This window comes from Homo sapiens, chromosome 2 (assembly GCF_000001405.40).
Source record: "Homo sapiens chromosome 2, GRCh38.p14 Primary Assembly".
NCBI classification, from domain to species: Eukaryota; Metazoa; Chordata; class Mammalia; order Primates; family Hominidae; genus Homo; species Homo sapiens.
In genome coordinates this window covers 196386168-196403143 of record NC_000002.12, presented here as the reverse complement: position 1 = coordinate 196403143, position 16976 = coordinate 196386168, and the positions used below count along the sequence as shown (strand labels likewise).

Below are 16976 nucleotides of genomic sequence, written 5' to 3'. Positions count from 1 at the left end.
CAGTGGAAAGAATGACAGAAGAATAAGAATCCCAAGGTGGACAGGTGTGGTGGCTCATGCCTATAATCCCAGCACTTGGGAGGCCAAGGTGGGCGGATCACCTGAGGTCAGGAGTTCAATATGAGCCTGGCCAACATAGTGAAACTCCGTCTCTACGAAAAATACAAAAATTAGCCAAGCATGGTAGTGCGCGCCTGTAATCCCAGCTACTCGGGAGGCTGAGGCACAAGAATTGCTTGAGCCCAGAAGGCGGAGGTTGCAGTGAGCTGAGATCGTGCCACTGCACTCCAGCCTGGGTGACAGAGCGAGACTCTGTCTCAAAAAAAAAAAAAAAAAAAAATTCCCAAGGCAAGGAATCTGTTTGTTAATTGATTACTTTATTTGATTTACAATATTCACATTTCCAAGTATGTATTTGACCTCCCAAATTAAATTGTTAGCTATAGAAATTTTGTTCGTTCTCTTACAGTTTGTTTTTTGAGTTTCAGGACTATTGTTAAAGGTATACTGTGACAATGTGTATTAGATACCATGAAAAATATATCATTGAATATGCTGTATCACTCACACTGACAAAAAGCTGTTAAATAAATAACAGAGAAACATTATGGAACATAATATCTGTCAGGGGGACTGAATCAGTGAAGGAAAAGTAGCCAAAGTAACCCATGATGTGGAGGTGCACCATGCACACTATTAATGGCTCAGAGTCTCTCACTCTTATTCCCATGTTAGACAACTATTTCAAAGTTTCTTTGACTAAGAATAAAAAGTAAATCTCTTGCAAGCCATCCCCCCAGAAATGAAACTCAAGGTCTGTTAAAGGGCCAGTATATAGCTGCACAATTATCAAATTTCTGAGCTAAAGCTTGTCATTTCTTTTTTCCTTTAGTAACTTATTATGGCAAGTTTCCCTCTTTTTTTTTTTTTTTTTTTTTTTTTTGAGACAGAGTCTCACTCTGTTGCCCAGGCAGGAGTGCAGTGGTGCCATCTCGGCTCACTGCAAGCTCCGCCTCCCAGATTCATGCCATTCTCCTGCCTCAGCCTCCCGAGTAGCTGGGACTACAGGCGCCCGCCACCACGTCCGGCTAATTTTTTTGTATTTTTAGTAGAGACACGGTTTCACCATGTTAGCCAGGATGGTCTCGATCTCCTGACCTTGTGATCCGCCCGCCTCAGCCTCCCAAAGTGCTGGGATTACAGGCGTGAGCCACCGCGCCTGGCAAGTTTCCCTTCTTATGACGCCTAGTTATTTTTGGTACCCTCTCCATTTGAGAACATAGTAGGTCCTTGATTCCATGTCTTAACTTATCTGAGGGATTTTGTTTTCCATTGGAAATCATATTGGTGAAGAAAATATTCTCATTAGTAAAAATTTTTTCTCTAAGATTATAAATGAAAGCTCTTTAAATGTTCATTTTAAAACATCCTGAATATTCACATCTGTGTGATATACAGGATGAATATATACCCTGACTGTGTATTCACTCCTGTGTATATAAAACATCTGTGAAAGGTATATGTCACCTGAACCTAATATTTTGAAATATTTGACAAAAAGAACAACTGATCCATATTTTTTGAGGTAGCGTTTTTAAAGAAAAATTCTATTTAAAAATTCCAGAAGAGTATTGTATTTTTCATAAAATTTCAAATAATACTAATTGTTTCCCTTTCTTCACCAAAGGAAAGAAGTGTTAATGGTGGATTATATATAATAATACACACAGAGAAACACATATGCACAAGTGTACTTTTAAACAAAAATGTATTATGTTATATGCATTCTTCTGTAAATAGTTGCTTCTACTTTGCAATATGCCTTAGACATCAATCCATCTCAATATTCATTGTTTATAACTTCTTGATAGTACTCCTTAATATGCTTGTACTATAATTTCTTTAACCATTACCCTATTAATGGTCCTTTGGGTTGGTCTTAATATTTGATATTACAAATAGTGCTGCAGTAAACATCCCTACACTTACATTTTTGAGCATTTGTGTCAGTATTTCAAAAAACAATTTCTAGGCATGAAACTGCTGAGGCAAAGAATGTGCGCATTTAATTTGAGACATACTGATAAATATCCCTACAGAAATGTTGTTTCAGTTTCCGGAAGTCTGTTATTAATCATGAAACGAAATAAATTAGAAGTTTCTCAAATGATAGGAATTACAAGTCTGCTGAATGATTAGGGCATATATCACAGATGAAGTTTTATAACTCTTTTTGGTTTTGTATAAATTTAAAATTTATATTTTAAGTAGACACAAGTTGAATACAAGACATGGAAATTATTTTAGCTCTTTTTTTTTTTTTGCATTTTGTGGGAATGGGGGTTAGTGGCTCAGAGAGAGGAGAGGGCAAAAGAGTCACTATTTGGTCTTGGAAATGGAGAAATGTAGGTGAGTGAAAGCATCTTTATAAGAATATGCTTTCTGGAACAAGATGATGTTTAGTAAGGTTTTCATGATTTTCAAGTAAACCAGCTGTGACTGGGATTCAGTCCAAGAAGGTCTTTGTGCTGGGACAATACAGATCTTTAGGCTATGGAATAGGAGTAGAACAACAAAATTTCCTGTGCATATTTGGTTTATAAAAATAACCTCTTTGAAAGCACATTTTAAGTTTCAAGTATCCCGTGCTTCTGAACTATTTCTAGGCTATCCTGTTTCAGTCAAAGGGCTTGATTTTAATACAATACCTAAGCTTATCTTTTCACTCAAGAGCAAAAATTCTATATCTTTTCCAGAGTTATGCAGGCATTAGTCATATACTCTACTCTCCTTCCCCGCCAACACGAAAATCCTTCCTCTGTCTGTCCCATTTCCTCACTGATGTATGTAACAGGAGTGATGCAATTTCTTTGCAATGTTGGCAGTTATAATTAGGCTATCTCTTTTGGAAAGGCCTCAAGAATCCCATAGTGAAGGCTGCAAAGGCACCACATGCTTTTTTATTCACTGTGTGATTAGAAAAATTATTGAAAATTTGAGATTTGATTCTTAGACCTATGAAGAAGCTCTTGTGAAACTGGCCTGAGAAAGGGAGCCAGTTAATTTCTTTATAAGACAAATTTCTCCATGCTTTCAGATTCCAGCATATTTTATTATTTTAGCAGGCACCCAGTTATTAATTACTGTAGTAATTCAGTTAAATATAAGATTGTTGAGTGCTCCTTAGGACCTTCTCCAGGAGTCTACTTAATTCCTGAGGACCCTTTCTTATACTAATACTGGGCTTGGCAGTATCTGGTGCACTATTCCCTCACCTAGGAAATGTCAGTAGACACAGCTGTGAAAGGCTATTTAACTGTTTGTTCAAAGATACGTTAATACTTGCTTATAATTTGAAGTATTCTTTTGAAAACTAGTTAGGCCTACGGTTCTATCTGTCAGTCCTACTTAGGAGACTGTGTGGTTAGAAAGAACAATAGCATTGGTGTTCAAATAGGCCTGTGTTTTGAATCCCACTTTTGTTTTTGTTACCTACTACAGTGGCTTCAGCTTGGGCAGGTTATGTCAGATGGGTATCATAACTCCTGTAGGACTAGAGAAAGAAGTGAGCAAATGTTTGTAACATGCATAACACCACACTTAACTTGGGGGAAGAGCTGGATCAGCAATCGTTGTTCTCTTCATTAGCACTTCCTTCTCAGTTTTGGGGAATCCTTAAAATAGTGCTTCCCAGAGTGTTCCACAAGGGTATTCCTGCTGCAGAAGATCATAAGCCCTCTGGCCTCTGGCAGTTTAGCCCAGAGTAGTCTGCTGCCAGGGGGAAATGACTTGAAGTCTTGTTTTACTTTAACCTCTTTGTAATATACATATGTTTTCATGCAGAAATGATGTTAGAATTACCAATTGAATAACTTAATGTAACTTGATGTTTCCCCTTCTTCAAATCCTTGGGGAAAAAATTAGCCTCCAAAAGTATGCTCCACACTTCTAATGGGGCTGAGTCTGGGGAAGCCCATTAGTAGTGCTTCCGGAGTGTACATGCTCAACCTGAGAACCATACCCAAGAGAAGCTCTGGAGATTAAGAATAGATTTTGGGGGCCAATATGTCATCATGAATTGAAATAAAATCATATAATAACATTGGATTGTAAATATATGTTGGTTTAGAAGCCATACTTTTGTCTCTATTTTTTGTTTTTAAAGAGACAGGGTCTCCCTCTCTTGCCCAGGCTGGAGTGCAGTGGTGAAATCACAGCTCACTGCAGCCTCTAACTCCTGGGCTCAAGCCATCCTCCCACATCACCCTCCCAAATGCAAGTAGCTGGGACTACAGGCGTGCACCACCATGCTTAGCTCAGTATTTTTAAAAATTTTATTTCTCCTCAGAGTTATTGAGCTTCTGTATCTGCAGAATAACGTGAGTCTTTTGCTCTCACTGGGGAAACCAGATATGGGGATACAAGGTATCAGAAGATTCATAGCTACATGCAGTGGCATATGATTAGGTGAGAAATGGTGGTGTGGATCATAAATAACATGTTTAATAGAGAAAGATGCCACCTTGGACCGAAAGCCAGAGGTGGTTTCTTCGAGGTGCATAGATAACTTGATGAGTTTGGAGAATGGGTGGGATTTGATTGGTTGGAAAACAAGGCATCTTGGGATATTTCTTCTTTTCCATTCTCATAGCTATTACTAAATCTTACTGCTTATGTTTTCCACCAGCTCCTGAAACACTAATTTATTTGAACCTATGGCAATATCTCTTGTTTTTGAAAAGACCTGTAGTAATGGTATAACATTTTTGTTAAATGTGTTTATTTAAAACTGTCACATTTTACTATATGTCTGTGTTTCTCTGCATGCATAATCAAACAGTATTTTTTCCCACTGACTTGGCCATATTGTTCTGTCTTCAAAACCCTTAACCATTAACCTTTCTGATCAAATTATGAGTCTTTCCCATTTAGCTAAGATTATTTTCAGGCCAATGTATCCTCCCTACTCACATGCATGCATTTTGACTTCCCAGGCCATTTTCCCCTAACTCCCCCACCCACCCACAAACCCATCCAGCCACCTTTCCCCTACACTCACTTTTTTCCCCTTCTATTGTGTCCTTCCTTCTCCTTTGCTTGCCTGAAACCACCTACCTCTTATTATAAAAGACTCCACTTCCTGGTGAGGTATCTCGGAAGGGTATGCTTTCTGCAGGGCTGTTAGAACTTTGTGGAAATACTTTGGCTCAGTGCAGCTTTATTGAGCCCTTCCATGAATATCTTTGGGAGCAGGTGAGGAGGATGGGGTATATGAAGCAATGGTATTGGGACTGCTTTGAGTCTTAAAAGACTACATTGGAAGCATTTGGGAAACAATGTCTTGGCATATATGGAAGGAAATGATATCTAAACAGTTGGTGGAAATCCCAACCTAAAGAATTTAACAACTTCCAAGGGAAAACAGATTGTTGCAATTTACTTTCTTAATTTAAACGGGAAAACATGCCTTGGCCATTTTCAACTAATGATGCTGTCTGGTATTTGGTGGGGGACTAAAGGGGATTCTGTCACTATTATCTGGAGGTTGTATAGAGAGCCAGCGAAGCTGTTAAGCATAAATAGAATACATTTTTTAAAAATAATAAAAAGAAAAAACAAACCAAACTCACTTTTATCCTTGCCCTCCGCTGCCTTCACCCCAAAAAGAATTTAAGATTTCACAAAGCTACATCCCTAGAGGATGGCCAGAAGAGGTTTGTGTGTAGATCATTGAGATGATATAAAATGTGGTAGGTTCACATGGGCCCTAGGAAGTGAATGTCAGTAAGCCCTTCCAGATATGAATGTAAAGCTTTTCAGAAGAAGAGACATTTCTCTGGTACCTGCATCATATTAGGTGCTACCTTATGTTACCTTAGTTGGGACAGAAAGCAGGGACACACAGCAGTGTCTTTCCTCTGTCACACCAATCTGTCTAAACAGCTCTGATTCTTCCATATGTAGAAGAATTCCCAAAGACGGTTTTTTATTTTTGTTTTTTTTTTTTTTGTTTTGTTTTGTTTTGTTTTGTTGAGACGGAGTCTCGCTCTGTCCCCCAGGCTGGAGTGCAGTGGCGCCATCTCGGCTCACTGCAAGCTCCGCCTCCCGGGTTCACTCCTTCTCCTGCCTCAGCTTCCCGAGTAGGTGGGACTACAGGTGCCCGCCACCACGCCTGGCTATTTTTTTTTGTATTTTTAGTAGAGATGGGGCTTCACCATGTTAGCCAGGATGGTCTCAATCTCCTGACCTCGTGATCCGTCCGCCTCGGCCTCCCAGAGTGCTGGGATTACAGGTGTGAGACACCACACCCGGCCATTTTTTTTTTAATTGGAATATATGCAAACCTAGGTCTGTAATATTTTTGCAAGACAATAGTTTGCTGGAACTGGAGGGGACATTGCCACATCCCACCCAGGCCACTTTACTAATTCTTGTTTCCTTCTTGATCTCTGTTAACATTTCAGAGCCTCTAAGGAAATGCCTCTAGGCAAGGCTCTAGGTACCCAAAAACATTAGTCTGGGGCATATTTCTCCAAAAGGGGAAACAATAGAGATACATTGATAGCTTGCGTTGAACATTTATACATTATTCTTTAGAAGATTGAAATGGTCTTATATGTTGCAACCAGAAATGTGTAATAATGCCTGTTTTTATCTGTTTATTTTTCTTTACCAGGTGTTCAGGGAATCTGTAAAAATGGCACTTGTGAACTTTTCTCTATGTGATAATTTACTATCTTTTTGGTTCTGCATATATTTGCATTCATCATTTTGTAAAGAGATCCTGGGAATTGATTATATGTGTTTATCTAAAAACTATTTCTATAGTTTGAATAGTAAAGTTCTCAATTACTTTTGTGCTATTGCTTGTTTGTATACTTTTTATTCCATTTAGATATGCAAACTTTTTCTCATTCATTCTCTCCTCTCCCCAGCCCCTGGCAACCATCATTCTACTTTCTGTCTCTATGAATTTGATTACTCTAGGTACCTCATGTATGTGGAATCATACAATATTTGTCCTTTATGACTGGCTTATATCACTTAGCGTAATATCTTCAGAGTTCATCCATGTTGTAGCATATGTCAGAATTTCCATCATTTTTAAGATTGGATCATGTTCCATTGTGTGTATATACTACATGTTGTTTATTCAATGGACACTCAGTTTGCTTCCGCCTTTTGGCTATTGTGAATAGTGCTCCTATGAACGTGGGCATACAGATACCTGTTTGAGTCCCATTTTAATCCCTTTACGTGTATACCCAGAAGTAGAATAGCTGGATCGTATGGTAATTCTATGTTTAATTATTTGAAGAATTACCGTATAATTTTTCATAGCAGCTGCACCATTTCACATTCTACCAGCAATGCACAAGGATTCCAGTTTCTCCACATCCTCACTAACATTTATGATTTTCTTTTTTTAAAAAAAAAAAACATAGTCATCCTAATGGGTGCACAGTGGTATCATTGTGATTTTGGCTTGCATTTTCCTAATGATGATATGCATCATTAGTGATGTTAAACATCTTTTTAATGTGCTTAGTGGTCATTTGTATGTCTTTGGAGAAATGTCTATTAAGTTCTTTGCGCATTTCTAAACCAAGTTGTTTGGTTTTTGTTGTCGTTGTTGAGTTGTAGGAGTTCTTTATATATTCTGGATATCAATCTCTTATCACATACATGATTTGCAAATATTTTCTCCTATTCTGTATATTGCTTTTCCATTCTGTCGATAGTGTTTTTTGATGTACAAGAGTTTTAAATTTTGATGAAGTCCAATTTATCTATTTTTTTCTCCTGTTAACTGTGTTTTTGGTGTCATATTCAAGAAATCATTGCCAAATCCAATGTCATAAAGCTTTTACCGTATGTTTTCCTCTAAGAGTTTTAAGTTTTAGCTCTATGTTTAAGTCCTTGACCCATTTTTGAATTAATTTTTGTGTACTCTATAATGTAGAAGTCCGCTATGGTCTGAATCTTTGTTTCTTCCCAAAATTCATGTATTGATACCCCCAAGGTGATGATAGTAGGAGTTGGGGCCTTTGAGAGGTGATGAGGTCATGAGGGCAGACCTCTCATGAATGGGATTAGTGCCCTTATGAAAAAGACCCCAAAGAGCTATCTGGCCCCTTCTACCAAGTGGGCACACATAAAAGGCATTATTTATGAGGAAGCAGGCCCTCACCAGACACTGAATCTGCTGATGTCTTGATCTTAGACTTCCCAGCCTTCAGAGGGAAATGAGAAATAAAGGTTTATTGTTTATAAGCTACCCAGTTTATGATATTTTCTGATAGCAACACAAAGGGACTAAGACATGGTCCAACTTCATTCTTTCACATCTGGAAAATGAGTTTTCCCAGCACTATTTGTTCAAAAGATTGTCCTTTTCCCAATGAATGGCAGACATTTTTAGAAGTAATATTTTCAAAGCCATTTTTCTTTCTCAGAGAGGTATTGTGATATATTGAACTTTAGAATCATACAAATCTTACTTCACTACTAATTAACTGATCTGGGATACATTAATTGACCTTTCTGAGACAGGATTGGAGAGATCGTTCATCTTTCTGGCTCTCGTGTCTGCCTTTAGGTGGTCTGAACTCTCTAAAGGGGGGATGTTTATTGACTCACTAAAATTACACCAGCTCCAATTTCAGGCAAAAAGATGGAAGGAATATTTTATTTTAAAACATGAGATTTTAGTTTCTCTCTATCTAATTGGTCTATCTTATACCTTAGGTTATAAGAAAAATAGAAAATAAATTCTGGTCTATCTTTACATTTACCACCTGTACTATTTTTCTGGGATCATTTTCTTTTCTTTTTTATTTTTAATTATACTTTAAGTTCTAGGGTACATGTGCACAACGTGCACATTTGTTACGTATGCATACATGTGCCATGTTGGTGTGCTGCACCCATTAACTCGTCATTTACATTAGGTATATCTCCTAATGCTATCCCTCCCCCCTCTCCCCCCTCACCCCCGGACAGGCCCCAGTGTGGGATGTTCCCCACCCTGTGTCCAAGTGTTCTCATTGTTCAGTTCCCACCTATGAGTGAGAACATGTGGTGTTTTTGTCCTTGTGATAGTTTGCTCAGAATGATGGTTTCCAGCTTCATCCATGTCCCTACAAAGGACATGAACTCATCCTTTTTTATGGCTGCATAGTATTCCATGGTGTATAGGTGCCACATTTTCTTAATCCAGTCTATCATTGATGGACATTTGGGTTGGTTCCAAGTCTTTGCTATTGTGAATAGTGCCGCAATAAACATATGTGTCCATGTGTCTTTATAGCAGCATGATTTATCATCCTTTGGGTATATACCCAGTAATGGGATAGCTGGGTCAAATGGTATTTTAGTTCTAGATACTTGAGGAATCGCCACACTGTCTTCCACAATGGTTAAGCTAGTTTACAATCCCACCAACAGTGTAAAAGTGTACCTATTTCTCCACATCCTCTCCAGCACCTGTTGTTTCCTGACTTTTTAATGATCTCCATTCTAACTGGTCTGAGATGGTATCTCATTGTGGTTTTGATTTGCATTTCTCTGATGGCCAGTGATGATGAGCATTTTTTCGTGTGTCTGTTGGCTTCATAAATGTCTTCTTTTGAGAATTGTCTATTCATATCCTTTGCCCACTTGTTGATGGGGTTGTTTGATTTTTTTTCTTGTAAATTTGTTTAAGTTCTTTGTAGATTCTCAATATTAGCCCTTTGTCATATGGGTGGATTGTAAAAATTTTCTCCCATTCTGTAGGTTGCCTGTTCACTCTGATGGTAGTTTCTTTTGCTGTGCAGAAGCTCTTTAGTTTAATTAGATCCCATTTGTCAATTTTGGCTTTTTTTGCCATTGCTTTTGATGTTTTAGTCAGTCATGAAGTCCTTGTCTATGCCTATGTCCTGAATGGTATTGCTTAGGTTTTCTTCTAGGGATTTTATGGCTTTAGGTCTAATGTTTAAGTCTTTAATCCATCTTGAATTAATTTTTGTATAAGGTGTAAGGAAGGGATCCAGTTTCAGCTTTCTACATATGGCTAGCCTAGCACCATTTATTAAATAGGGAATCCTTTCCCCATTTCTTGTTTTTGTCAGGTTTGTCAAAGATCAGATGGTTGTAGATGTGTGGTATTATTTCTGAGGGCTCTGTTCTGTTCCATTGGTCTGTATCTCTGTTTTGGTACCAGTACCATGCTGTTTGGGTTACTGTAGCCTTGTAGTGTAGTTTGAAGTCAGGTAGCGTGATGCCTCCAGCTTTGTTCTTTTGGCTTAGGATTGTCTTGGCAATGTGGGCTCTTTTTTGGTTCCATATGAACTTTAAAGTAGTTTTTTCCAATACGAAAATCTTTTGTATGTAAATAGTGGTGGTTTCTTGTCTTCCTTTTCTCCATTTATTACTGTTGTTTCAGTGTTGATTTGTATTGCTTTTGCATTTCTTTAATGTTTTCCAGAAATATTTCTGAAACATGGTGGTGGCATTTGGCATTTTTGTATTTTATATTTTGTTAAGGAGAATGATTCATGCTTTTCTGTTACCTACTCCTACTTATAACATTTATAATTATTTTGATGTTAGAATATGGAACACCTTGTGTTGCATTGCTGACAAAACACAAACAAATCTTTAAATTAATTAACAAAAATTTTTTAATGTACCACACTTCCTTAAACTTCTCTATGTAGCATTTTAATTAAGGAATATAAAACTTAAAAGCAAAGAACTAGAAGGAGCCTGATAGGTTACACAGCCCTGGCACCGAAAGTAGGTTTTATCTTACATTCCTATCCGAGTTGAATAGTGGAAGCTGCATAGAGTGCTATGTTAGGAAGACTGAGGCTTCATTCTGGAAGGAGTTGTATAATCAATTAGCGATGTTGGGCATGGGCAAGAGATGAAGCAAAATATTACTCAATTTTATTCTATTCATTACCAATCTTAATATAATTTATTTTACAGATAAAGGGATTGAATCTAAAAAGGAAAAAAGTTTGCATAGATTTACATAGCATATGTGTAGTGCTTTGAATAGTGTCCCCATAAGTCATGTCTTCCTGAATCTCCGAATATGACCTTGCTTGGAAGTAGGGTCTTTGCAGGTATAATTAGTGAAGATAAGGTCATACTGGATTACAGTGGGCCAATGAATCCAATGAATGTTGTCCTTAAAAGAAGAGGACAGGATAAGAGAAAGACACAGAGAAGACCATGTGAAGACAGAGGCAGAGACTGGACAGATTCAGCTACAAACCAAGGAGTATGAAAGATTGCCAACAACCATCAGAAGCTAGGAAAGGGCAAGACAGGATTCTTCCCTAGAGCCTTTGGAGGGAGGATGGCTTGCTAACACCTTGATTTTAGACTTCTAGATTCTGGAAGTATGAGAGAGTAACTTTCTGTTGTTTTAAGTCACTCAGTTTGTGGTACTTTGTCACAGAAACTCTAAGAAACTAATACAGTATCTGGGACTAAAACCCATACCTCCTTAATCTAATTCCAAAGAGTTAAGCACAGCATGAGAGAAAAAATATAGAACTAAACTTTGAAAAGTAGAAAAACTATGGGGTTACATGTGATAAGCCTTTGGGTTCCAAATGTGAGATCCTATCATCTAAAACATACATTCATGAGAGTTAAACAGTATAATGAGAGCAGTATCAATTCAGTACAAAAAACAGTGCAAGGAAGTTCTTGATTGATTGTTATGTCAGTCAGGGTCCCTGCCAGATGCAGATGGCCATCTCAACTTAGATCATTTGTGTGACCTTTAATACAGGGACTGTTTATAAAAGCATAGAGAGATCATAGGGGTGATACATTACAACACAGCCAGTAACAGTGGGGCAGGGTACTGTTACTACTCCTAGGCCTGAAGATGTAAGAAGAGGGAACAGTTACTAGAACCTGGGTTACGGAGAGAGCTAGGTTGAGGGGTCACCTGGTAGAAGATAAATAACCTGCAGAGAGACTATATATTTAGAACTGGGAGTTTAAATATTCCAGTCTTACTCTCCTCCCTGCCTCCTGTCTCTTGCTGGTGCTCCCTGTTGACTAAATCCACTTGCAAATTTGAGGTCAGTGGAGCTCAGTGATGCAGTACCTATAGGTCGGTTTCCCAGGGCAGAGAGCAGAGTGTATGGGGGAGGGAGGGAGGCACATGGAAGATAACCAGCCAATGCCAATGAGTATAAGACAGCAGATTAATAAGGAAATTGAGCTCGCACAATGTAGAATTTCCTAGACAATATGCAAAGCTCAAAACAGAAAGTCCTCTTGTGTCTAAGTACGTAGCCCATTCAAGTAAAAACAACATTCCTGCCTGTTGTGATGTCTTAATCTACTTATCTCCAAGCATCTTATTTCTTATGGTGACATGTTTTGCAAAGAATGTATTTGTGTCTAGATCCATGAATGCCTTGGACCCAACAGGCATCAAGTATGAAACTGTTGTGTTAATAAAAAACAACAAGGTTATAGATGGCATTTTTTCCCTTAGGAGGCTAAACATGCAGTCACAGTACTTTCTCTACCACATTATGAATTAGTGCAAGTGTGATTTGTGTTTTTCAGGTGAGCAAAGACAGGCACAGAAAAGGCTAGTAAGCTACCTAGGGTCACCTAGTGTGTTTAGTTTTCCATGCAGCGACTTTTGCTGTTTAGTTTCAGAGGTGACCAAGTGTCTGCTGCAAAGTCACGATAAGTGATCATTTGGGGGAGTACAAGGAGTGCTGGCAAGAATGTAAAAGCAGTTCCTTCTGATAATTAAACTATCAAGTTGACATATTGATCATTCCAACAACTTGGAAGGTTCTCCGATCTTTAAACCAGTAAAGCAGCTGGTAGAGAATGTGGATTCCAAAGACCAATGGCCTGGATGCAAATTTTTGGTTGGCCTTTCTTTTTCTGTAATTTTGGGCAAGCTACATAACTTCTTTGAGCCTCAGGTATTCATGAATAAAATGGATATCATAATAGGGTCTACCTCATGGAGTTGTCAGGAAAATTATGAGATAATAAATATAATATAATATAGTATCTGAGCATAATATCAGTATTTCATGCCATATCTAACATTGAGAAGGTACTAAATAAATGTTAACTATTTTTATTTCAAGCCTAAGCTTTCAAAGTATCTAAAGAGGTCCTGAACCATCAGAAAGGGTTTTGGCTGGCTGTGGAAGCTTAGCATGAGTGGTGTAGTCCTTTGTAGTGTCCATCCAGTGGCTGTTCAGGGAGAGGATACACTCATCCAAGGATGAGGTCTGTGGTCCCCAGGGCCACATGTGCATGAATCAGACTGTTAGCTAGAAACCTTTAAACATCTGAACTCACTCCCCCACTTCTGATTTCTTACTACCAAGAAAACTTGTGATGATAAATTGGCTTTCTCTGTAGTTTTCCTAGAAAGCCAGAAGATGCCAAGAATAAGGCCCCTTTCAAAGTTACCTTTCTTAGTCAATTTAGTCTGCCTTTCTGGTACTGACCACCTCTGAGACCCTGACAAGGTCAAGACTCTTGCAGAGGCAGGAGGCAGATCTGGAATAGTGGGGGATTCATCAAGTTACATTCCCCAGGCTGTTTGTAGGTGTTCTGTTATAAAGTGTTCCTGGGTTAAATCAGTTTAGGACGCCGTAGAAGGCAGAGGGCTTCCAGAGCTTTCGTATTATTTACTAATGCATGTTTTGAACTTCTAAAGGGGGAGTATGGTATCCACCACATCCTAGTCGTATTTGACCAGGAGCCCATTTTTCCTAGTAACACCTCAAAACACTAGGGTTTCTCAAAATGCATTTTAGAAAATGCTGCACTAAGGAAATAACTCTCTGTAGGTCTTCTTGGTAACACATCCATTTGCCCATTTGCCTGCCACAGACAGTTTTGCAACATGACAGTTAATTTCATGTGCTAAATATTCTTTAATTAATGGTGTGAAGTGGCTGTGACTTATAAAGAGAGAAATCAGATATGGGTGAAAAATTTGTAAAACCAGATATGGGTGAAAAGTTTGTCCTGAATGGTCCATAAAGTGACTCCACAACAGATCGCACTTCAGTCACAATTGGTATTTGCCAATATATTTATGCTTCAGATTCTAGGAACTATATAGCTTTTCTGTTGCCTATAAAGGCTATCCTGTAGAGACTTATATTTCTGTTCAGTTTTTCACTGGGGTGCCCCTCAGAGTGGCAGTAACCATGCTTCCAAATGCCAGTCTTCCCCGTCAGCAAAAGTTAATTTATGTAACAGCAAAGCAGCTTTGTGGACCAGTGACTCTGGTGTCTGAGAAGTATATACCTCTAATAATCTTAACATTTTCACTTTTGAAAAACTACCACAATATTTTGCTTTTGATACCTAGACAAATTTGCCTCTTATCTTGTTTTTCTAGGTTTCCATTCTTATAGATTGAAAATTATGCATATGATTAGATGCTAGCCATACATTAAGGAAAAAGGAAAAAGATATATGTTGAAGTCCCACAAGTAAATATAGAGTAGCATAGCATAGCAGTTACATACCTATACTCTGAAGCCAGATATCTGGATTGAATTCGGGCCCTACTACTGACTGACTAGTTGTGTACCCATGGATATATTACGTACCTTCTGTGTCTCAGTTTCCCCCACAGGTAACATGGGAATGATAATAGCATCTAATTTATAAGGTTGTTGTTAGGATTAAATAAATTTACATTTGTAAAGCACTATAAACCATGCCTGACAGTAAGCACTATGTAATTATTAAATCGATAGACCTAAAGAAAGCCATGAAAAAACAAAAATCTCTAGAAATGACGTTTTGTACAATTATAATAAGAAAATTGTAATTTTTTTTGAGACAGTGTCTCACTGTATCATCCATACTGGAGTACAGTAGTCCAATCATAGCTATTGCAACCTTGACCTGGGCTTACATGATCCTCTTGCTTCAGCCTCCCAGGCAGCTGAGACTACAGGTGCATGCCACCATGCCTGGATAATTAAAAATTTTTTTTTTTTTAGTAGAGATGAGGTCTTATTACGTTGCCCAGTCTGGTCTTGAACTCCTGGGCTCAAGCAATCCTCCCACATTGGTCTCCCAAAGTGCTGGGATTATAGGTGTGAGACACTGTTTCTGGCCACAAAATTGTATTTTAAGGAGTGTTTACTAATAACTCAGTGCTTACAAGCCTTGTTTAATTTAGTTGAGGTGAATTAGGGCCTTTGAATTTGATAAAACTTATTTACTGCTGCTACTCTTCAATGAAATACGGAGGTTGCTAAATGATATTCCCAAAGTCACAGCATGGAAGACAAATGCTGTAATTTGGCATGTTATTTTCTTACCTACATCACTCACCACACAGACCCCAGTGGTCTCTTTTCTACTGTTGACTTCATGCTGAAATAGAGCCACAAGATTCTGATCCCTGGAGATATATATATCTCTCTCTATATATAGATATGTAGATATATCTATGCATATTTTCAAGAGTATGTTTTTAATAAGACATTTTAAGTTTTGTGTTTTTGTTCAAAATAATCCACCTGTCTTAGTCCATTCAGGCTCCCATAACAGAAGACTTTAGGCTAGGTAATTTATAAGCAACAGAAATTTCTTTCTCCGTTCTGGAGGCTGGGAAGTGCAAGATCAAGGTGCCAGCAGATTCGGTGTCCAGTGAGGACCTATTCCTCACAGATGGTGCTACCTTTGTGTCCTCATATGGTGGAAGAGCAGAAAGGCAAAATGGGATGAACAAGCTCTCTCTTTTATAAGGATGCTAATTACATTCATGAGGGCTTTATCCTCATGACCTAATCACTGCTTAAAGGCCTACCTCTTAATAATATTGCATTGGGGATTTGAAGTCAACATATGGTTTTTTTGAGAGACACATCCAGACCATAGCACCCCAAAGTACTTAAGCATATTCTAACTAATGGAGATCATCAGTTTATAGTCTTCCTGCTTATAATATTGCTGTCACCAAGTAATACTGCTTTAACTGTCTGAGCTTATGAAAGAAGGTAAGAAGTAAGTTTAATATGTAAATTATGTGTTTGTGCCAAGAAAGGGCCAAAACAAAATACTTTTCTAATAGAGAAAAATGAGAAAAATTGAGTCATCACCTAGCACCATGCATTATTCTCATGATGGACTCAAAACAATCTTTGCTGTTAGGAGTTAGTATTATAGCCTTGTTATAAGCTATAACAAGGCTTATAACAAGCCTTGTGATTTAGTTCTAGCAAACGACTACAATCATTCACAGTGAGTGAGTGTTGTTAATCAGAACTTGATTCTTTTTCTAGTTTTGTTTGTATTTAATGCATCATTTTTTGTTTTATGAATTTGTTTAGCACTATTGGCAGTTAACTGTATGTTTTTGTACATTTAATGATACTATGATAACAGTATCTACACTGGGGATTGTGCCAGAAATTAGTCACATTCAAAAATCATTGCCTAGGAAGGAGATGGTCTTGTCCCTGAGGCCTTCATTTTGCTTAAAAAGAGACCCAGAGCAAAGAAGGCCAAGGATATTTTTCTCACCTTTTCCTAATTTGCAGTGCCCAGCTTGTCAACAGAGACAAGTCAAAAACAGTGGCAGCAGTGAAAAGCTAATTCAAACAGGTGGTCTGCTTCTTTACATTGCTGTTAATATCTGCACTCCTTTTATCTCTTTGCTGCTTCTCAAGCATGTTAGCAAGCTCCCTCATGGGGGCCTTTGCACTGATTGTTCTTTTTGCCTGGAATGTAAGGCCAAATCCAAGACCTCACTCAATTCTTTGCTCAAACATCCCCTTCTGAATGAGGCCTACTATGCTTCCCTACTCTCAAGCCCCAGCTTTCCCTCTCTGTTCTCTTTCCCCCAACACTTATAACCATCCTATACACTATATGATTTACCTTAATATGTTCCTTGTTTACTGTCCATCTCCCCTTTCCATCTCCCGCTAGAATGTAAGCTCCATGAGGGC

The 16976-nt window shown here is 38.2% G+C and overlaps 1 protein-coding gene across 10 annotated transcripts in view, besides 1 other annotated feature; it reads left to right on the top strand.

Annotated features, from left to right (window-relative positions):
• Positions 1–16976, top strand: part of HECW2 (HECT, C2 and WW domain containing E3 ubiquitin protein ligase 2) — a 399483-nt gene that overhangs the window by 190411 nt on the left and 192096 nt on the right. The window lies entirely within an intron of this gene.
• Positions 2645–2939: an enhancer, noted in NCBI's record as "tiled region #6737; K562 Activating DNase unmatched - State 6:EnhF". NCBI's record gives its function as "activates a minimal TATA promoter and a strong SV40 promoter by Sharpr-MPRA in K562 cells {active_cell/tissue: K562}" and the evidence as "EXISTENCE:reporter gene assay evidence [ECO:0000049][PMID:27701403]".